The sequence below is a fragment of the Homo sapiens genome, chromosome 10, assembly GCF_000001405.40.
Source record: "Homo sapiens chromosome 10, GRCh38.p14 Primary Assembly".
Taxonomy (NCBI): domain Eukaryota; kingdom Metazoa; phylum Chordata; class Mammalia; order Primates; family Hominidae; genus Homo; species Homo sapiens.
The window spans coordinates 878,956-903,177 of NC_000010.11; the positions used below are offsets into that span (position 1 = coordinate 878,956).

Below are 24,222 nucleotides of genomic sequence, written 5' to 3' on the forward strand. Positions count from 1 at the left end.
GAGAGATGTTTTTACTGATCCCAGTGCCTTGAAAGACTACTATTACATCTGTCACACTTCCACAACAAGAGAAGTTTTAGCAGCATGTAAATCATTTACACAAGGATACAACTAAGAATAGTAAGCCAAACAGAGAATGAAGAAATCCCTCTATTTTTAAATATGCCTTGGAGCTGAAAAGATCACGGGTATGTGTTATAGAAGGCATTCCTTCTGTCAGTGGCCAAAATGCTACAATCAAAATGTTACAATACTATGTCATCAAAAAGAAATATCCTACATTAAAAAGGATCTACTCCGTCTCAGCACGAATACATTCTAAGAGGAAAAGAGGGCATCTGGTCAGAGTATCCCCCATCCTGGGGCAAGTTCTCCGAAGTACCAGGAGACCAAGAACCGTGCATACACTCTGGGGGTAAATGGATTGTTTTGTCACTAAATCATGCTGAGGTAAAGGCAGCTTTACACTTCCTGACATAGTAACAAACATATTTCTAAGACAGGAAACTGTATCAACATCCTTAAGGAAAGTTCTTAGGTCTTTTGTTTTTATTTTTTTAGAGACAGGGTCTCCCTCTGTCACCCAGGCTGGAGTGCAGTGGTGCAATCACAGCTCACTGCAGCCTCGACCTGCTGGGCTCAAGCAATCCTCCCCCATCAGCCACCTGAGTAGCTGAGACAGCAGGCACACACCACCATGCCTGTTCTTTTTTGCTTTGTAGATATGGGGTCTTGAACTGGGCTCAAGAAATCCTCCCGCCTTGGCCTCCCAAAGTGCTGGGATTTATAGGTGTGAGCCACTACATCCGGCCAAGTCTTTTCTTTTCTTTTTTTTGAGACAGAGTTTCGCTCTTGTTGCCCAGGCTGGAGTGCAATGGCACTATCTCGGCTCAATGCAACCTCCGCCTCCCGGGTTCAAGCGATTCTCCTGTCTCAGCCTCCTGAGTAGCTGGGATTACAGGCGTGCACCACCACACCCAGCTAATTTTTGTATTTTTAGTAGAGACGGGGTTTCATCATATTGGTCAGGCTGGTCTCGAACTCCTGACCTCAGGTGATCCGCCCGCCTCAGCCTCCCAAAGTGCTGGGATTACAGACATGAGCCACCGCACCTGGCCCAAGTCTGTTCTTAAAACAGACTGACAAGGTGGTAACAACCTGCCAAAAGGTCTAACCTGCAAGATTAACATACCAAGAGCAGCCACGTGTCACTTGCGTACAAATACAGGAGTTGGATATTTTCATAGAAATTCAAGCTTTCTGATTGCTAAGCCTACTCTTATTCAAAATATAGGCCTGCAATAATTAATCTGAATTGCTAATTAATAGTTATTCATTCAGAAGCTGTGTCATCAAAAGGCAAAGGTGGTTTTTTGAAAACTGATAAAGGAAGGGACTAAAGTTTTTTGGTATTACCATCTGTAAAGGAGTTTAAAAAAAAAAATTCTGGGCCGGGTGCAGTGGCTCAAGCCTGTAATCCCAACACCTTGGGAGGCCAAGGCGGGCAGATCACTTGAGGCCAGAGTTCGAGACCAGCTTGGGCAACATGGCGAAACCCCATCTCTACGAAAAATACAAAAATTAGCCAAGCATGGTGGTGCATGCCTGTAATTCCAGCTACTCAGAAGGCTGAGGCACAAGAATAGCTTGAACCCGGGAGGCAGAGGCTGCAGTGAGCAGAGATCGCACTACTGCACTATAGCCAGCCTGAGTAACAGAGTGAGGCTGACTCAAAAAAAAAAAAATCATTCTGATATAGATGTTTTGCTGAATTGTACATAGAGTTTAGTATGAGGATGAGTTAGATTTCCAATTTCAGATTTCCAGTTTCACACTATGATTAGAAAAGACTTGCTGTGACTTTGCATCTTTCTTCTGAGGAGGTAATTTAACATAAACACTTCTACCTAATATTACCTGTCCCTTAAACATCATCATTCACTCACATTCCTCTCTCAAACCTGCTGTTGATTTATGATAAAACACAAGAGGATCATTTCAACAGAAAATGGTTTCCAGGCTGATGTAGTGTCTCCAAGGGAAAAGCAGGTACTTGGCTGGTCGCACACAGGAGTAAGAACTGGAGTCCCTGAGTGGGCTTCAGGAGGGGCAAAAAGCCGCTGAGAATGATGTTTGCTATAGATGAAGTTTGTGGCGCTAACAGGGAAGGTAAAGAACCTTTAACCAAACGACACTGTTGCTGAATACCAGTGGTCAGATATTTTTTCTTCCTCAAGAAGGAGAACCCATCGCTGTGGCCCACTGCCAGTGGTCACTCTTCATCATAAACACCCTCAAAACCCTTTCAATCCCCTCTCGCCTTCTATCACCTTACCTTCAAAGCCAAGATCTTAGGAGGAATGTCACCGTCTAAGTTGTGTCTACCACTCCTGTCTCTCACCCACTGCAATCTGGCTTTTGCTCCTATCAGTCCTGGGAAATACTCTTGCTAAGGTCACAACTGACCCCTCGCTTTGTTACCTTACTACACTTCACTTGAGTCAGCCTCCCTGCCTCTATCTCCACCCCACACTGTCCTCTGGTTTTCCTCCCATCCCTCTGACCACTCCGCGTCCTAGATTCCTTCCTGTTTCTGATATATTGAGGGAATCGAGAGTTTCATCACTGTCCCTGCCTGGAACTCAGGTAAACTTAATGCAAAGTACTGTAATCATAACTATTGGTACGATATACTTCAAAATCAGTAGATCCTTATGACCTCAAGGTGAGAACATTCAAAATGACCTTGCTTGACTAGGGGCAAGATAAAGAGTGCTTCTTCTAGACTCACCTACGTCTCAGTGCCTCCCACCTCCAGGTGTACGCTCATCTTGTACCTAAGGCTCACACACAATGTGATCATGCAATCTTGCATGCTGTGTTAGGGCTCCTCGAAGACGTGTATCTCACGCTCATCTGAACAACCTCTCCATAGAAAATGTCTTAGCCATCATGATCACTTGCACTCAGTTTTGATGAATGGATGGATACTCAAATTTTATGCAGGCAGTACTAGCTGCTTGCCTACCAGACACAATGCATTGAGCTGGCCACAGAAGGGAACAGAATGTGGAGACACAGAGCATGTTTGTGCCTGCCCAAGGATGCTCCCATCCTTAGAGACAGGGCCTAACTATAAGTGGGCCTGGGGGTGGGCTGGGGGTTTAATGGGGTAATGTAAAAGTTCTAAGACTACATTATGGTGATGATTACACAACTCAGTAAATCTACTAAAAATAATTCAATTGCATACTTTAAATGGGTGAGTTTTACAGAATGTAAATTATACTTTAATAAAGTTTTTTTTTTTAATGAACAGAACACAGTACCAGAAGTTTACAGTTTAGTGGAGAAAACATGTACACAAATTTGAGTAATTCTGACAATCATGTCACTCATTATAATATATTGTTCTCATACTAAATAGGGAAACCATTTTTTTTTTTTTCTGAGACAGAGTTTCACTCTGCTGCCTAGGCTGGAGTGTGGTGGCACAATCTCGGCTCACTACAAGCTCTGCCTCCCAGGTTAACGCCATTCTCCTGCCTCAGCCTCCCGAGTAGCTGGGACTACAGGCGTGTGCCACCACACCTGGCTAATTTTTTGTATTTTTAGTAGGGACGGGGTTTCACCGTGTTAGCCAGGATGGTCTCGATCTCAGGGAAACCATATTCTTACAGTCTAATAGAGATCACTTTTTTGTGTTCTTTGGCTAACCCTGTAAATAGTTACTAGCTCAGTAAGCTTTTTGGAGAGGGCAGGAAGCTGTCTAATAAATACAACTAAATAGTACCAGTGGATAAATGCAAATCTGCTCCTGAATTATTCATGTATTTCTTTGGGTATCTCTATTGCACGTCTCCTCCTACTCAACTCTGACAGAATGGCTAAACTGTAAATAGCCTGGTTCCTCAACCCTGACTGCTAAATGTATTCACTTGCCCATCATAACAACTGGCTGAGCACTGCCACCTAATCACTAAACCAATGCAAACTCCTGGTCAACTATGAAGCATGTAACTCTCCACACCTTTAGGTGCACTATGAACAATGCTAATTAGAAAACATTCATAGCAATGCCTACAATAGGTTTCTAAAGATGTCTGAATATTATGTTGGACTGAAAGTCAACCACGGAGAGAACAGGAACTTGTTGAAGCAAACAAACTCCCTTAAAGATTTATACTCAAGGGATATCTACTTTATGTCTTATATAATTTTCTTCTTAGACTACCAAGCGTCTTATATTTGGATATTTTTAAAAAATCAATGTGCACCGGGCACGGTGGCTCATGCCTGTAATCCCAGCACTTTGGGAGGCCGAGGCAGGCAGATCACCTGAGGTCACAAGTTCAAGACCAGCCTGACCGACATGGTGAAACCATGTCTCTACTGAAAACACAAAATTATCCAGGTGTGATGGCGCATGCCTGTAATCCCAGCTACTCGGGAGGCTGAGGCAGGAGAATCCCTTGAACCCAGGAGGCGGAGGTTGCGGTGACCAAGATCGCACCATTGCACACCAGCCTGGGCAACAAGAGGGAAACTCTGTTTCAAAAAAATAATAATAAAAAAATAAATTAAAAATCAATGTAAAACAGAATACATAAAAATTTTACATAAATAATATATTTATAAAATATAATAATTTAGAAGGTGTCTTTTGTTTTTTTAAAATTCTTCTTTGTTACAAGCTGGCCAGGCATGGTGGCTCACGCCTGTAATCCTAGCCCTTTGGGAGGCCAAGGCGGGAGGATCACTTTGAGTTCAGAAGCTCGAGACTAGCCTGGGCAACACAGTGAGACCTCGTCTCTATTTGAAAAAAAAAACAATTGGATTAACAATCCAACTCCTCAATTCCTACGTGAACTGCTTATAATGGGGGGGGAATAGATGAGATTTATGGTAATTTTTATTTTTTACATAAAATATTTTTACTTTTTAAATTTTATGCAATTTATAAGATCCTTTGATCAAACTGAATTTCCAGTAGTAGCTCTCTGAAGCACTTTATATATGCATATGCAAATGATGAAAGGTAGGATTTAAAAACCAATGAATTCTACTTCCTTATTCTTTCATTAATCACAGCTAAAATGTGAAACAAATTTTCTGAGTAAAAGCTTACTATTCAATTTGTGTGGTTTAAGGAACACAAGCTACCAAAATGTAAAGCTACTCATCCGCATATAACAGATTATCAATGATACAATAAAAATTTTGTAATATTTGAAAATAAATTAATCTAAATGGTATGCTGCTGTTGGCAGAACTGCACACAAAACAGACACGCACAGAAGCTAGAAAGGACATACAGTATTGACAGTTACCATACCCAGGGGTTGTGGTGATGAATGGATCCCCTACCACAACTTTTTGAGAAATATCTACATTTTCTAATTTTTGTTACAATAAACATTTTTCTTAAGGAAGTATCTCTGAGCCTTGACTGTGATTAAAAAATCTGTGATTAATCTCAAAATTGAATTACCTGACTCAAAGGTGGGATGGAACTTGTCTGAGAAGTGGTTTGAGATATAGGACCATTCATCTGTAAAATTGAAAACAAAGACAACATCAGTACAATGTTTAAAAAGAAACAACATATTTTCAAACCACAGTAATTAGGCAAAACTAAACCCACCAAGAAATGCACATTTCACATGACAAATTCATGAATTCATAAGATATTCAGAATGTAGGAGGCTTAAAATTTTTAAATTCTGAATGAACATCATAGATAAAGTTCTTTGTAGATTCAATGGGGAAAACTAAGAAAAGCTACTTTGCTCAAAGCCACTTTGGAACTTTAAATATTACTGCTTGACATAAAATGTTTAAATGAACAAAAGTAGTCAAAAAAATGTATATTAAAATCCTAACTCTTTAAATACATCCTACTATAGTGACTATAATGTTATTAAACTATTTACAAATCACTACATATCCTTGATTTAAAAAATAAATGGATTTGAGTATCTAGAGCTATAACAATTTTGTTTTTGTTATCATCTACTACTTATAGTTTCCTCTACTAAGCTACCTCTACATTTTTCAGACTGATGGGGCTCAGGACTTTCTCCCCAAAAAATATGGCACATTGACATTTGAGGAAACAGCAGAATCAGGCCATGGAAACTAGAAAGAATTCTCCTTGCCCCTTCTCCCTTGAAGCAGGCCATAAAACACAGCTGACATTCCCCTGAAGACCCTTCCAGAGGGGCCCTGCTCTGTACCAGGAGCAGTAACACACAGGGATGTCAAGAAAAACCTGAACACAACAGCCTTGCTAAGCTTCTCCAGTTTATTAGCTCTAGGTCACATCCCTTTTGTCCAATCATGCTTCTCCACAACTGTCAACATCTGCATTAGACTTCGCAAAAAAAAAATACAGTTTTCCCTGTTTCTTTGGTTCTTCCTTTGTGGAGGCTCCCATGTCACATACAACTTATTACTAAATAAATGTGTATGCTTTTCTCTTGTTCATCTGTCTTTTGTTGCAGGGGTCTCAGCCATGATCCTCAGATGGGTAAGAAATCTTTTCTCCCCTACGAGACTCTAATATCTGTATGCAGATCCTAAGATGTGCCAGTGTTCCTGTTTAGAACTCCTTACTAACTCCAATATAGAGTCCTTTATCAAAAAAAGCAATGGACTCCCCACCACCCCATTCGACAGCACCCACCAGATGAGCGCTGTCCTTGCCCTCCTGGACTCTCTGCGTCTGCGGTTCAGCCACAACCTTAGCGTCCTGATCAGAAGTCATGGGCTCCACTGGGAGAAGTGTAATGCTAACCTCAGGATGCTGTAAAATGGCAAAGACATTAAACAGGTCATTTGAAGGGCACAGTATGATTATTTAAATAAAATTAAAATCCTCAAGTTTTCCAGGACACACGTTTATCCCTCTGAATTCAAAAAAGTTTAAAGAAGTCTTCCCATATGCATACCTTACTCACCAAGAAGTGATACTTAATTTTTTAAATAAGTAAGTTTCTTCTTCACACCATTTTGGTGAAGATGGCCACACTCTAAAACTTGGAAACTCATGTGCTGACACAAATAAACCCATTTGTGCCTGGAAACTCAAGTCTTTTAAAAAACAGAAAATTGAAGGCTTAATATCCAAGATATATAAGGAACTCACACCACTCGATAGCAAAATAAATAAATAAATAAATAACCTGGTTAAAAAATGATCAAAGGCATGAACAGGCATTTTTCCCAAGACAACAGAAAAATGGCAATAGAAATACGAAAAGGTGCTCGGCATCACTAATTATTGGGGAAATGCAGAACAAAACCACAATGATATTTCACCTCACAACTGTCAGAATGACTATTATCAGTCAGACAAGAGATAACAGGGCGTGGAAGAAACAGAACCTTTGCACACTGTTGGTGGGAATGTAAATTGGTGCGGCCATTATGAAAACAGTATGGAAGTTGCTCAAAAATTTGAAAATAGAACTACCATATTATCCTTTCTGAGTATTTATCCAAAGGCAATGAAATCACCACCTCATAAGAATATCTGCACTCCCATGTGGATTGCAGCATTATTCACAATAGTCAAGACATAGAAACCACATAGTTGTCCATCAATGGACAAACGGATATAGAAATTGGGATGTGTGTATCTGTCTGTCTATGCTATGGAATTATGTATTATTCAGCCTTTAAAAAGAAGGAAACCCCGTCGTATGCTATAACATGGGTGAACCTGAAGGATATTATGCCAAGTGAAACACACCAGCACAAAAACACAAATACTGCATGATCTCACTCATATGTGAAAGTTACTATCTTAAAAAGTCAAATACATAGAAACAGAGAATAAAATGGTGACTACCGCCGGGCACAGTGGCTCAAGCCTATAATCCCAGCAGTTTGGGAGGCCAAAGCAGGCAGATCACCTGAGGTCAGGAGTTCGAGACCTGTCTGACCAACATGGAGAAATCCAGTCTCTACTAAAAATACAAAATTAGCTGGGTGTGGTGGTGCATGCCTGTAATCCCAGCTACTATAGGCTGAGGCACAAGAATCGCTTGAACCCGGGAAGCAGGGGTTGCAGTGAGCTGAGATAGTGCCATTGCACTCCAGACTGGGCAACAAGAGTGAAACTCCACCTCACTCACACACACACACACACACAAAATGGTGACTACCAGGGGGCTAGCAGGTAGGGAGGAAATGAAGAGATCAATGTCAAAGGGTACCAAGTTACAGATATTTTGGATGAGTAAGTCTAGAGATCTGATGTACAACATGAGGCCTATAGTTGTAATATTGTATTGTACACTCGAAACTTGCTGAGAGTATATTTTAGGTGCTCTTACTAACACAAAAGAAGGGTAAAACTATATGAAATGATGGCTATATTAATGGGCTGGACTCCAGTAACCATTTCACTATGTATATCAAAACATCATGCTATATACCTTATGTATACACAATTAAAAAAAAAAAAAAGGTCAGATGTGGTGGCTCATACCTATAAATCCCAGCACTTTGGGAGGCCGAGGCGGATGGATCACCTGAGGTAAGGCGTTCGAGACCAGCCTGGCCAACATGGTGAAACCTCATCTCTCTAAAAAATTTAAAAACTAGCCAGGAACGGTGGCGGGCACCTGTAGTCCCAGCTACTTGGGAGGCTGAGGCAGGAGAATCACTTCAACCTGGGAGGCAGAGGTTGCAGTGAGCCAAGATCATGCCACTGCACTACAGCCTGGGCAACAGAGTGAGACTCCATCAAAACAATAAAAAATACAAAATAACAGAAAACTGGCAGGGTGCAGTGGCTCACACCTATAATTCCAGCACTCTGGGAGGCCGAGGAGGGCAGATCACTTGAGGCCAGGAGTTCGAGACCAGCCTGGCCAACACTGTGAAACCCCAATCTACTAAAAATACAAAAATTAGCCAGGCATGGTGGCACATGCCTGTATAATCCCAGCTACTCAGGAGGCTGAGACACTAGAATCGCGTGAACCAGGAGGTGGAGGTTGCAGTTAGCTGAGATCTCGCCACTGCACTCCCACCTCGGCGACAGAGCAAAACTCTGTCTTAAAAACAAATAACAGGCCAGGTGCAGTGGCTCACGCCTGTAATACCAGCACTTTGGGAGGCCAAGGCAGGTGGATCACCTGAGGCCAGGAGTTCGAGACCAGCCTGGCCAACATGGCGAAACCCCATCTCTACTGAAAATACAAAAATGAGCTGGGCCTGGTGGCACATGCCTGGAGTCCCAGCTATTCAGGAGGCTGAGACACTAGAATTGTTTGAACTTGAGAGAGACAGAGGTTGCAGTGAGCTGAGATCACACCACGGCACTCCAGCCTGGGTGACAGAGCAAGACTGTCTCAAAAACAAACAAACAAACAAAAAAAAAAAAACACACACACACACACAAACAAAAACCCAGAAAATTACAAAGTTAATAGGACTCCAGAAATAAAAACAGTTGTTGATGAATGCTAAATTCAGATATATTTAAGTGTCCTCACTTAACATCATCAACAGGTTCTTGGAAACTGACTTCAAGCGAAAGGACGTGAAGCAAAATCAATTGTACCACAGGCACAAACAAGTGTTAAGCTCCTACAGCATATTTCCAGTCACAAAAATATCACCAAACTTCTAATTAAAGACCCAAAACTCCTTCTAATATTTAAAATGGCAATAAATATGAGCCACACACATTTTTAAAAGATTAACAAGAAAGACAATTACGTACCTAATTTTGGGTGAGTCAGAAAGTGACAGTGGTCATAGTGGTGGTATAACCACCACTGGATTTAACCAATCAAGGAATAAATGTTTGCAAAGTGAAAACTGTAAGAATATTACGGCAGGGCGCAGTGGCTCGCGCCTATAATCCCGCACTTTGGGAGGCTAAGGCAAGCAGAATGCTTGAGCCCAAGAGTTGGAGACCAGCATGGACAACATGGCGACACTCATCTCTACACAAAATACAAAAATTAGCCGGGTGTGGTGGCACGTGCCTGTAGTCCCAGCTCCTTCGGAGGCTGGGATAGGAGGACCACCTGAGCCCAGGAGGTGGAGGTTTCAGTAAGCCGAGATCGCACCACTGCACTCCATCCTAGGGAACAGAATAAGATCCTGTCTCAAAAAATAAAAACAAAAATAAAAAAAGAATATTCCTACCACCAAGTAGTTAAAAAACAAACTATGATAACCAATAGGGCAGGCTCACTGAGCACTATTTGTTGTGCATTTATATTATTATAGTAGACTTTATGAATTTTTGTTTCACAACAATTTATATTGATTCATTCATTTCTCAACCTGCTTATTCCAGTTCAGGGTAACAGGTGGCCACAGCCTATCCCAGCAGCTCAAGGAGCAAGGTGGGAACCATCCCCGAGAGGACACCATCCCATCACAGGGCCGCTCACACACACACCCACACTCACTCACTCAGACTGGGACCAGGAAGACATGCAAATCCACCGAACATGCACACCTTTGGGATGTGGGAAGAAACTGGAATACCCGTAAGAAAACACGCAGACATGGAGAGAACGTGCCAACTCCACACAGACAGTGGTCCTGGCCAGGAACTGACTTCTTTCTCATCATGTTGAAATGACATTGAAAGAAATGATGTTTTTCAAAGTGGTTCTTCATGAAGCATTTACTCAATCCAATGTCTAGACACTAAACTTCACATGTAACATCTCACTCAATTTTCCCAAACAACGTAAGAAGTAACTGGCTCACCAACACTTTGGGAGGCTGAGGCGGGCGGATCACCTGAGGTCAGGAGTTCAAGACCAGACCGGCCAAAGTGGTGAAACCCCATCTCTACTAAAAATTAGCCAGGTGTGGTGGCGGGTGCCTGTAATCCCAGCTACTCAGGAGGCTGAGGCAGGAGAATCACTTGAACCCATGAGGCAGAGGTTGCAGTGAGCCGAGATCGCCCCTAAACATACTCTAGCCTAAGCGACAGAGTGAAACTCTCTCAAAAGGATCAGAAGGGATAACTGTAACAATCCCGTATCCTGAGGATTCCTAGACATCCAGGTCTGACTTCAAGGCATTTCTTTTTACTGCAAGCTACACTGCTTCCCAAACAAGATAAATATTGTTATTTAACCCAGGTATCTTTTTAGGTACATCTGAAAACATACATCAGACTGTCAGAAAAAATACCTTTAAAAGTGTAACTATTTTTGTCTTACTAGGTAGCCATACAGGTTTTTCATGGTATAGTGGAGCTCCCTATTCGCAATAATCTGCTTGTGATAAATTCTCAAAAACCTTGTTAATGAAATAATCTGATGATCAAAGGCAATCTCATCCAATTGTGTAAACTGTATCATCAATCACAAAAACATCTAAATGCTATCAAAAAGAGCTGGAAATAAATGTAAGCTAGCAGAGAAAAAATGCTTGAAATAAATACGGGATGTATGACAAATGTTACACTTTAACAGATATATTTCATTTTAATGTATATGTATCTTCTTTTTATGTCTGTGTAGTACCAACGTCTTCTTATTAAACAAAGAAAAGAGTGAATCAATTTAAATAAATATATTAAGTACTAGTATAAATGCTATCGGGACTCAAAAAGATCTTGAAAACAGAATGTGAGTAACTAACTTGTAGAAGACACAGATTTCGGGAACATCTGGACTGAGATTCTAGGTCCTTGGTTCTCAGGCCTCGGATGCAATGAAGAATCCCTGGAGCAAATTGTGATTTTGCAATTTTGTAGTTTGGACTTTTTTATTATTATTATTATTATTTTTAACTATGTAGATGATTCTGAAAAACCTGAGCAAATACTTCCAGGTGATGTTGAAGTAACACACGAGGGGAGTAGCTCCCACTCCCTGAGGGGGTTTTCTACGAGAGAACAGATGGATTCCATTGTAAAAGAAACCTACATGTCATTAAACATCAATTCCCACACAACCACGAAATCCAGAAACTAAAGACATATTAATAGTTTAGCAATCAAATGGGCAAGTCATAGAAGGCGCTGTGGATGCTTTTGCCAACATTAATTTCCAGATTTTTAAGATTCTTATGATAGCCAAAGGGAAAAATAAAAATCAACTAAAATAACACTTTATTTAATACCTGTATTTTTTTAGACAATTGGAATTTATATACCTCCTGACGGAAATACCAACAATACCATATATGAAGTGGTCTTGCAAAAAAAAAAAAGATAACAAAAACCAACATGTGATCATGACCCTAAATCTTATTACGAACTAACCGCAAATACAAGAGCCAGGGGACCACCAAGGGATTCCACACAGTGGAAAGTTTCGGAACTGGCTTCTTCAACACAAAAGGAGACGTAAGACACACGCTGGTCAGTCAGACTATGGCTTTACTTGGATAAAGGAAACAAACCAACTACTAAAAAAGAAAAACGATAATCAGAGAAACAACAGTAAAAGGACAACTGATAATACTAAAAAATGATTCTAGTTTCTCAGATGTGATAACGATGTGGTTATGTTTAATAAAAAGGAAACCCTATCTTTTAGAGATGTATATTGAAATATTTACAGGGAAAATAATACAATGTGTGAAATCTTCCTCAAAGTACTATGTGGGGCAGAGACCCTGAGGTTCATCGTTATTCTTCCACCTGAGAGAAGGAAGTTCACTATACTATTCTGTCTACCTTTGTACATTTGAAATTTTCTATAATAAAAGGTTAAAAAAGTAACCATGCCACAGTCTCAGCACAACACAGTGATCCCGATTTGAACACTCTGCATCCTACCTATTAAAAAAAGTAACCTTTACACCAATATATCTCTTAATTACTAATCTGACAGTTTTTCAAAAAAGGCTTATAAAGTTTTCCAACAGAAGGGATTACTGATAGTCACCTCATTTAAACAGTTAATAACGTATCATTTTAATGCTTTTTTAACTTACCTAATGTGTGAATCTAAAATGAGATTTAAAGAATGATACAAGTATTGACAGCTGTTTCAATAAATAACAAATATTTTGTTACTGGTTCAAGAGACCTAAAATATTTTGAGATTTAAAATATATCAACTATTGCCTCCCGGCATGGCCTAAAAGCAGATCTCTAGATTGTAAAGGGAAATATTCAATGGGAGAAAAGAATCCTCCAGCCAAAGCAAAGTACTTCCACACAGCCGACCAAGGAGTTGAAGGCGGGCTCCGCACTCGCCAGTGCCTTACACCACTCGCAGGCCTTACTGAATTGGACAGGAGGATTTTATTTAATGTCTCTTTATGTAAAAAGCAGAGAGGATAAGTCCAAGTGTTCTCCCTTCCTATCTGTGGCCTCTATGCTAGTAACACATTTTTAACCTCATCTGTCAAAGCTACAGTCTAAAAAAGAAGTTTTATCAACCTTGTTCAACACTTGGGAGACCATAACTCTCTTAAATCAGTTTCTAAAAATTTCTTTTCATGTACACCAGAAATGTTTATTGCATGATTAAACAGTTATTATGGTCTTTCTAGACACACAAGACAATCTTAAAAATACAACACCATCTCAAATAAACAACTATATGTCAGGTTGGTGACATAATGATTTAGAGAAAAATTATCGTTAATTTTTTTTTTTTTGAGATAGAGTATCGCTCTGTTGCGCAGGCTGGAGTGCAGTGGCGCGATCTCAGCTCACTGCAAGCTCCACCTCCCAGGTTCATGCCATTCTCCTGCCTCAGCCTCCCGAGTAGCTGGGACTACAGGCGCCGGCCACCACACCCAGCTAATTTTTTGTATTGTTAGTAGAGACGGGGTTTCACCGTGTTAGCCAGGATGGTCTCGATCTCCTGACCTTGTGATCCACCCACCTCGGCCTCCCAAAGTGCTGGGATTACAGGCGTGAGCCACCGCGCCCGGCAAAATTATTGTTAATTTAAAGGACAGCTATTTACGCAGAAAACCCTACAAATTCACCAAGAGAAATTTTTTTTTTTTTTTTTTTTTTTTTAAATACAGAGTCTTGCTCTGTCACCCAGGCTGGAGTGCAATGGCACAATCTCAGCTCACTGCAACCTCTGCCTCCCGGGCTCAGGCAATTCTCATGCCTCAGCCTCCTGAATAGCTGGGATTACAGGTGTGCAACACCATACCCTTTTTTTTCTTTTTTTTTTCCCAGTAGAGACGGGATTTTGTCATGTTGGTCAGGCTGGTCTTGAAGTCCTGACCTCATGTGATCCACCCCCCTCGGCCTCCCAAAGTGCTGGGATTACAGGAGTGAGCCACTACTGTGCCTGGCCACACCAAGAAATCTTAAAATGTACTCAGTAGGCTTGTTCTTTGAGGTAAATGTTGGTATTATTATTTTGAAGCTATTTTATTTTACATATTGTATATATACATGCCTACACATATTCACACTGAACAGGATAAAGTTGATAAGAATTTCCTTAATGTTAGGTACACAGATTTTCAACATAAAAGGAGATATGAATACAAAATTAAAGAAGCTAAGTAAACTCCACGTGGTCATTTTTTAAAATTGGAAGTGTAACTTTTTAAACTACAGTACAGGCTTCCTTTGCAATACACCACTATTACCACTGATATCCTTTTCCTATTCTGGGCTCTGATCTTGGACCTCATGCTGTACTTAGCTGTCCTTCCGTTGAGTCTCCTTTAAACTGCAGCAGTTCCTCAGTCTTGCCTTATTCATCTACGCTTTTCCAGAGCACTAGTTAATTACTTTGTAGAATGTTCCTCAATTTGAGATGAGCCTGGGACATCTTACCATGAAGCAGGAAGCCATGAAGACAACTGGTCCCATCAGGAAGACACAGAGGCCACAGCAAACTAAGGGAGGGATTCCCAATAGCCATGCACGGAGCCACATCAGGATCAGGAAGAATGAACGGAAAACAAGTCGGCAGCAATCATGAGAGCTACCACCACCACAGTGCTCGCCTTGGGACTACAGGACACCCACTTATTATTCCCAAGATCACTAAAGGACAACAGTTATTTCAAGCTGCTGTTCCTCGATGAACTGCATTTCTGAATAACCAAAAAGCTGATCAGGGCAAGAACCACAGTCAATGGGGAGTGAATGACAGGATCGGAAAAATCAAAATATCCCAATATCTAATACAATAATAAAGTCAATAATCATTGATGTCTGCTGAAATTATCAAGTGAAGAACGTGATGGGAGGTTTCCAAATGGTTAAGTGAGACATTGACTGAAGCTATTTTTCAGTATTATCATTAAAACTGGGCCTCTAGGCATTTTATTTTTGACATGATCAAAGACTACCATCCACAAAGTAGTCGTGCCAAAAAAAGAGCCTGTATTTAATCATACCTCTAGATCTTACTCCCAATTTAAAGGGAATTCTAGGGAAATACATGTTAAATCACACCAGCACAAAGCCATCATCTAAATCCAAAATGTAGGCAAGAAAGACGACCTCATTTCTATAGCAAATAAAAGATATTTAAAAGGAGAGCTATTTTTATTGCCACAGAATTAAAAAGCCTTAACCAAAATAATCCAATGTGATGTAAGAACTGTGTTTGGATCCTGAGTCAAATAAATTAGGTTTAAAATGACATAGAAAAACTTTTAAGGTTGCCTAGGTAATAAAGACAGAGAAAACTTTTTGACATAGAAAAACTTTTAAGGTTGCCTAGGTAATAAAGACATGATAAAATTACTATTAATTTTATTGAGTTCCAACCATAGTATTGTTATATTTATTTTAAAAGATCTTCTTTATAACAGCTAGAAACTAAAAGACTCATGAATAAAGATATATGTCTGGAATTTGCTTTAGAATATGCCAATTTTTTTGGTAAGTTTAAGGGAAGAGAAGAAACAAAAATATATGAATGGTGGCAAGCTGATGGTAGCTAAAGCTAGATGACTGGTGAACTGAGGATCACTATAGTATCCTCTCTACTTCTATGTGTTTAAAACTGTCCACAATAAGCCAGGCACGGTGGCTCACATCTGTAATCCCAGCACTTTGGGAGGCCAAGGCGGGCGGACTGCCTGAGCTCAGGAGTTTGCGACCAGCCTCGGGCAACACAGTGAAACCCTGTCTCTACTAAAATACAAAAAATTAGCTGCGCATGGCGGCGTGTGCCTGTAGTCCCAGCTACTCGAGAGGCTAAGGCAGGAGAACTGCCTGAATCCGGGAGGCAGAGGTTGCAGTGAGCCAAGATCGCGCCACTCCACTCCAGCCTGGGCAACAGAGTGAGACTCAGTCTCAAAAAATAAAATAAAATAACGTAAAATAAAATAAAATAAAAAATAAATAAAATTGTCCACAATAATAAGTAAAAGAAAACCTAACTTGGATATATTATCAGTACACACTTAAGACTTCATATGCTTATTTCTATTTAAAATTTGTATTAATGAAATAATACTAAATGTGTAAACAAATTTATTAACAATGTTCACAGCAGCTTAGAAAAAAAAAAATCCCATGGAAATAAAAACGCAGAAAGTAGGCTCATGCCTGTAATCCCAACACTTTGGGAGACAAGGTAGGGAGATCACATGAAGTCAGTTCAAGTCCAACCTGCCTAACCAGGCTGGTGAAACCATGTGTCTACTAAAATAAATACAAAAATTCCCAGCTACTCGGGAGGCTGAAGCATGAGAATCACTTGAATCCAGGAGGTGGAGATTGCAGTGAGCTGAAAGCGCACCACTATACTCCAGCCTGGGCAACAGAGCAAGAGTCCATCTCAAAAAAAAAAAAAAAGAAAAGAAAAGTAGAAACGAATGCAGTATGTTACAATTACTTAAAATACTCACAAAAACTGCATAAAGATTTAAAAAAAAGACAAAACTGTAGATACTAAAGTTGCAATATATTTATAAAAATTCAAATTTTATAAGTACGTAAAAACAAGAAACTAGAAGAAAATATGCCAAAAGACTAACAATGTGTGATTAACTTATTGACTTCATCTCCCAGAGTCTCAGTTTTTTAAATAACATATTATTTTTATTACACGTCTTCATAAAACATCCAGCTTGCTGATTCCATCAGTTGCTGAGTCCAAGGTCCCCTGCCATCTTTCCCACAGAAAGGGCACTGCTGCCCACGCAGGAGAAGCTGCCCATGCAGGAGAAGCATCTAAGTCACTTTGCAGTTGTTTTTCAATACAGATTAATCAAGTGCAATTCAGTGAGCAAATTTTCTTGTGAAACTACACTGCTCAGTCCTGTTCACTAAGATAATGGTTCTCAATGTGTGGTGTAGGCATAGTCCAGAGTCCCAGAAACACTTCCAGTGGGGCCACAAAGTCAAACCATTCTCAAAATAATGCAAAGATGTTCTTTGCTTTTTTCACTCTTATTCTCTCCTCACAAAACCACAGTGGAGTTTTGGTATAGCATCAAAGAATATTCAATATTCATTTATATGAAATGACTACCAAAATAATAAAATAAATTACCTGAGGCCAGATTTCCTTCACACACTTCAACCAAAATAACACAGTACTAAGAGATGAAATGCAAAAGCAGACAAGAATCCAGCCAAGATTCTATTAAGTCAGACATTAAAGAGATTTACAAAACATGAAAAAACAATGCCACTCTTCCCACTGAATTATTTTTTGTTTTGGAAAATACTACTACCTTTCATAAACAATGTTATTTATATTACCTAATGGGTTTGTTATTATTAAAAATGTATATTTATAATATTAATTGATTCTTGATACTTAACATAGTAAATACAGACAGAGATAAACCACAGATGGAGACAAACCATATAATAAACTCAAGCTTTTAGGCATCTTCAGTAATGTTTAACAGCATAAAGACGTCCTTAGACCAAAAGCTTGAGAACCACTCCACTAATACAAACCCTTAAAACCCAGTTCTCAAGGACAGATGCCCATGTTCATGGATGGAAAGACATCCATGTTTATGAAGAGGAAGACATCCCATGTTTACAGATGGGAAGACATGGTATTTTTACAATGCCAACAAACCCCAAATTAAGCTACAGATTCAATATAATCCCTATCAAAATTCACTTTTGTGGGAGAATTTTTTTTTTTTTTTTTTTTGGCAGAAATTGCTGAGCTGATCCTAAAATTCCTATGGAAATGCAAGGGACCCAGAATAGCCAAAGCAATCTTGAGAAAGAATAAAATTGAAAGACACACACACTTCCTAATTTCAAATCTTACTACAAAGCTACAGTAATCAAGCCAGCATGGTACTGGCATAGACCAGACAAACAGATCAATACAATAGAAACGAGAGTCCAGAAAGAAACCGTTACATTTATAGACAACTGATTTTCCACAAAGGTGTCAAGACCAGTTGAGGGGAAAAGAACAATCTTGTCAACAAATGGTGCTGGGACAACTAAATGTCAACATGAAAATAATGAAGCTGGGCTCCTACCTCAACATACACAAAAATTAAGGCAAAATGAACCAAAGAACTAAATGTAAAAGCTAAAACTATATGACTTGGAAGAAAACAGCAGTAAATCTTCATAAACTTGTATTAGGCAATGGTTTATTAATTATGACACTAAAAGTATAAACAGGAAGAAAAAAATACACTGGATTTCATCAAAACGAAAAACTTTTGCCCCTCAAAGCACACTATCAAGAAAGTGAAAAGATAACCCAAAGAATGCGAAAAAACATTTGCAAATCATATATCCAATACGGAACATATATCTAGAATATATAAACAATTCCTAAAACTTATAATGAGACAAATAACCCAACTTAAAAATTGGCAAATGAGAGCCCAGCGCAGTGGCTCACATCTGTAATCCCAGCACTTTCCGAGGCCGAAGCAGGCAGATTATTTGAGGTCAGGAGTTCGAGACCAGCCTGGCCAACATGGTGAGACCCTGTCTCTACTTAAAATGCAAAAGTTAGGCAGGCATGGTAGTGGGCGCCTATAATCTCAGTTACTTGGGAGGCTGAGGCAAGAGAATCACTTGAACCTGGGAGGCGGAGGTTGCAGTGAGCCAAGATCACGCCACTGCACTCCAGCCTGGGCGACAAAGCGAGGCTCCATCTCAAAAAAAAAAAAAAAAAAAAAAAAAAATGGCAAATGATCCGAACGAACATTTTCCCAAAGAAGATATACAAATGGCCACCAAGCACATGAAAAGATCGTCCACATCATTCGTCATGAGGGAAATACAAATCAAAACACAAAATACCACTTTGAAATGAAATTAAATAAAATGAAGTAAATACAGAAAATTAAAACAAAAATACTACTTTGCATCCACTTGGATGACTATTATCAGAAAGATAGGTAATATCAAGTGTGGCTAGTACATACAGAAACTACAATCTTCACACACTGCTGGTACAAATGTAAAACAGAGCAGCCATTATAGGAAGCAGTCTGGCAGTTTCTCAATATGTTAAACACCGAGTTACCATATGATCTAGTCATTCTACTCCTAGGGATATATCCCAGATAACTGAAAACATGTATCTGCCTGAAAACCTGTATGTGAATTTTCAAAGCAACATTATTCGTAATAGCCAAGAAGTAGAAACAACCCAAATAATAAACTACTAGGTTAAGACCCTCCCTTTTTTATGTGTGTCTGGCATAACTCATTGGATTTTCAAATAATAGCAAAAATCATAATTTCAGAACTTGATAATTTCTAAGAAAATCAAAATAAAGAGGCATTTCCTAAACAGCAGGTAATTCTTTTCTGGTACGAAAGGGTAATGTGAAAACACAAATTATTTGTCTCTGAATCAGAAACCTGGAAAGAAAAAGAATGAGTTTGGTAAGGATTATTCTAAGTGCTTTCTCCACGTTACCAAATAAACTTAATTCTGTTAATTAGGTTCCATGCCTATTTAGCACAGCAGGAAATTAAGATCAGGGATAATTTAAGGTCACAAAGCTACTAAGTTCAGTGAGGCTATATTAATGCACATATAATTTTGCTATTCAACTATATGTGCCTGGAGATCATTTAACAGGCAATTCACTCTATCAATCCCTGCATGTGGGTGAATGTCACATCGTAACATGACCTCAGAGAAGTGCACCTACAGTTTCCTTAGCTCGTCTTCATTCCTTCTTCCCTTTTACAGTAATATTCACTGCACCAATGTACAGATCATGATTTTAGCATGTAAAGATAAGCATCTTTTTTCTTACAATATGGTACTTAAATATAAGCTAAATATTTCTCTTTTTATACAACAAAAACAGTGATTTGATTCAATGCCAGACTAAAACTGGTATTGGATCAATTGTATCAGTGATAATATTAAATACATTGTACCTTACACGGGGATCTTCAAGTATATTGATGATTTTTGCATTATGGGTTGACCTTAGAACAGACATTTCCCATGAGAGTGTGCTGTATGGGAGCCAAATATAAAACCTCTCTCCTGAATCTAAAAACATTATTCTGAAGTCAGGAACTCCCTACTCACAACAGATTACTCCCTGTTCTATTTGCCATGTTCTGCACATTCTATTGCCTTTTCCTGGAACACAGGTATCCCTGTGTTTTATCTTCTATCTACACACAGTGATACTGAGAACAGGACAGAAATACATATCCCACCAATGATATATTACAACTTACCTTGATCTTCTTCCTTTTGTTAGTAACATTCAAATATATGCAGTTTTACTACAGTGTTGTCTAAGTACTCCATTTCTTTATTTGTAAAGTTTGCTAAGTTACCTTCTAACTCTAATTGTCTATGATTAGGAACAATGAGTTAAGGGATGACGCATGAACAGAGATGGACAGCACAAGATGCTCCTAGACAGACATGTGTTCCAAGAACTCCAACATAATTTTATTTTACAGACCATTTTACAAAAATCAGTAAATGAATATTCAACTAGATAAGTAAACAGAAATTTACCTAAATAAGGAAAAAGGGCTAAGAACTTTAGAGATTGCCTTAATTAAGTACTATATAATCTCCTTGGGAATCAATTAGAAAAAATCAAAATGTGTTACTTTCAATGTCCAAACAAAATTTGTAGAAAACAGTTTACCACCCAGACTTTGATCCCTTTGAAGCTACATAAATTGATCAGAAAAAAAAAAAAATGATCACAGAAGCTAAATCAAATCATCAGAAGCACAATCATGGCCAGGCACAGTGGCTCACGCCTATAATCCCACCACTTTGGGAGGCCGAGGCGGGTGGATCATCTGAGGTCAGGAGTTTGAGACAAGCCTGGCCAACATGATGAAACCCCGTCTCTCCTAAAAAATACAAAACTTAGCCAGGAATGGTGGCATGCGCCTGTAATCTCAGCTACTGGGGAGGCTGAGGCAGGAGAATTGCTTGAACCTGGGAGAAGAAGGTTGCAGTGAGCCAAGATCGCACCATTGCACTCCAGCCTGGCAACAAGAACAAAACTCCATCTCAAAAAATAAAAATAAAAAAATGATAATAATAAAAAGCACAGTCATAGCATTCTAGGATCGGAAAGAAGGATGTCTTTTTTTTTTTTTTTTTTTTTTTTTTTTTTTTTGAGGTAGGGTCTCACTTTTTCACCCATGCTGGAGTGCAGTGGCCCGATCTCAATTCATTGCAGCCTCGACCTTCTGGGTCCAAGTGATCCTCCTGCTTCAGCTCCCCAGGTAGCTGGAACTACAGGAGCATGCCACAAAGCCCAGCTAAAAAAGGATATATTTCCTTTTTTTTTTTTTTTTTGTGAGAAGCAGTCTCACTCTGTTGCCCAGGCTGGAGTGCAGTGGCACAATCTCAGCTCACTGTAACCCCTGCCTCCCGAGTTCAAGCGATTCTCCTGCCTCAGCCTCTCGAGTAGCTGGGACTACAGGTGCACGCCACCACGCTTGGCTAATTTTTGTATGTTTAGAGAGACGATGTTTCACCACACTGGCCAGGCTGGTCTCGAACTCCTGACCTCATGATCTGCCTGCCTCAGCCTCCCAAAGTGCTGGGATTACAGGTGTGAGCCACCAGCGCCTGGCCTCTTTTTTTTTTTTTTTTTGAGACGGAGTCTTGCTCTTTTTGCCCAGGCTGGAGTGCAATGGCACAATCTCGGCTAACTGCAACCTCTGCCTCCTGGGTTCAAGCGATTCTCCTGCTTCAGCCTCATGAGTAGCTGGGATTACAGGCACCTGCCACCACGCCCGGCTAATTTTTTGTATTGTTAGTAGAGACGAGGTTTCACCATGTTGGCCTGGTTTCGAACTCCTGACCTCCTGATCCACCCGCCTCGGCCTCCCAAAGTGCTGGGATTACAGGAGTGAGCCACCGCACCCAGCAGAAGGATATATTTCTTAACAGAAATTTTCATTATGATTCCCACGTGCATATCTAAATAGAGAAGTGCAGAAAATAAAATACAATAGGAATTCTAGTTCCTCATCCATCTGCCTTGTGCTGTTAGTTGGATGATATGGTTTATCTCACGGCTGCCAGCACCACTCTGTAATATTTGAAATGCACATTTTTATCTTACAATAGAATAATGTGAGAGCACCTTAGGGCAGATTATTTTATGTTCCTTCCATGTACCTTATACACATCATATACTCAAGTGAATCTGTAAGCTTGAATAGTGGGAACATTTACAGAGCAACAGACTGCTGCTTCCAACAAAACTGTTATTTTAGTCTTTTGTTTTTTTCAAGATTCAGTATCTCTATGATATTCCATTCTTTTCGTTTCATGTTCTTATAGTAAGTGTGTCACTCAAAGATACTGACGGATAAAAGAAATGCGTCCAATCTCAGTAGAGTAGTTGTTTATACATTTAAACTGGCACTCAGCACTGGAGTATTCCTAAGGAGATGTTGCCAATAAATTTCAAGACTAATTTTGTAAAATGTCCTTTATATGTGTACATCGGTGCTTCTACTGAAAAAAACAGCAGTGAGAAAATGTGAGTTTTATTTATAGTTTGAGTTGGTTCTCCTCCTAAGGAGGACATAATCAGACACAAGATACAAAAACTTATTTGTTAGCAAGATCTGATTGAAAAAGTACCTACATGAGAAGACCACCAAATAATATACTTTCAAAATCTTCCTGATTTTAAATTTAGAACGTGTCTACTAAGTCGACACACAAAAAAAGGACAACGGTCCCCTCCACCGTTAAAGCCTGTGACTGGGTCTACGACATTATCTTCTGGAGAGTACAATCTTTTGAAAAGACCATTTTAGCTAGGATTCTTACTAAAACATAATACAAAACAACCACCGAAACTGGAGTTTAGATCATCTCATTAACCCTCTGGCTAGGAGAGCATTTTACTCATTAAACCTTTGACGAACTCAAAAACCACCACTCTAATACTTGGTTGTAAAGAAGCTGAAATAAAGTATCTGAACCAAATGCACAGAACATTGTTTTGCACAAGCCCTAAGCTGCAGCAGTGCGAATCATGGCCCTCGGAGTACCACTTCTTGCTTTTATCCCGTGCTACACCTTTCCCAGTAAAGAGCTTCTTAGGAAGGGTTTCCACACCTTTTCACACACTTTCACAAAGGGAAAAGCAAATGGAAAAGTTGACAACTACATTAGGAGTATCTTTTTAGGACACAAGCTTAGCTAATTCACACAGCTTCCTTTGTCAAATACTGGACTACCAAGAAGCATCAAAACCAAAATCTGCAGTCTAAGCAGGGCACAGCTGCAGCACGTTCACTTCATTTAACCTCAAGTTGAAGCAGAAACATAAAATCTTTTTTTTTTTTTTTTTTAATTTTGAGATAGAGTCTCACTCTGTTGCCCAGGCTGGAGCGCAATGGTGCCATCTCAGCTCACTGCAACCTCCACATCCCAGGTTCAAGTGATTCTCCTGCCTCAGTCTCCCAAGTACCTAGGATTGCAGGTGTGCACCACCACACTCAGCTAGTTTTTGTATTTTTAGTAGAGACAGGGTTTCACCATATTGGCCAGGCTGGTCTCAACCTGACCTCAAGTGATCCCGCCCACCTCGGCCTCGAAAAGTGCTGGGATTACCGGTGTGAGCCACGGTGCCTGGCATAAAATCTTTTTAATACAGATGTTAAATTACCTGGTTGAAAAGCTAGTTGTCTCTTTTGTCTAGTCTGTTTAGAATATATTCTAACCTCCATTTTTCTGTCCATCAGCATTTTATTCCATTAGAAATTACTTCTCATGTTGAGAATGTCAACCTGGACAAACAAGATTCAACCTAACCTGGCAGGATGTGTGCTGGATGCCCAGGAAGCCTCTCCTGACTTGCAAGCGTCCCCTA

The 24,222-nt window shown here is 39.7% G+C and overlaps 1 protein-coding gene across 12 annotated transcripts in view; it reads right to left on the reverse strand.

Moving 5' to 3' along the window:
• The window catches only part of LARP4B (La ribonucleoprotein 4B), a 181,428-nt gene that overhangs the window by 72,042 nt on the left and 85,164 nt on the right, over positions 1-24,222 (reverse strand). For 11 of the 12 annotated variants that reach the window (XM_047424897.1, XM_047424894.1, XM_047424893.1 and 8 more), the window contains 2 exons: positions 6,686-6,805; positions 5,492-5,551 (listed from right to left, as the gene is read on the reverse strand). In XM_047424897.1, coding sequence (XP_047280853.1) covers positions 5,492-5,551; positions 6,686-6,766 — 141 coding nt within the window. In that variant the 5' untranslated portion in view covers positions 6,767-6,805. Of the gene's footprint in view, positions 1-5,491; positions 5,552-6,685; positions 6,806-11,628; positions 21,109-24,222 lie in introns of those variants that run through there. The other variant, XM_017015990.2, reaches the window with a different exon arrangement.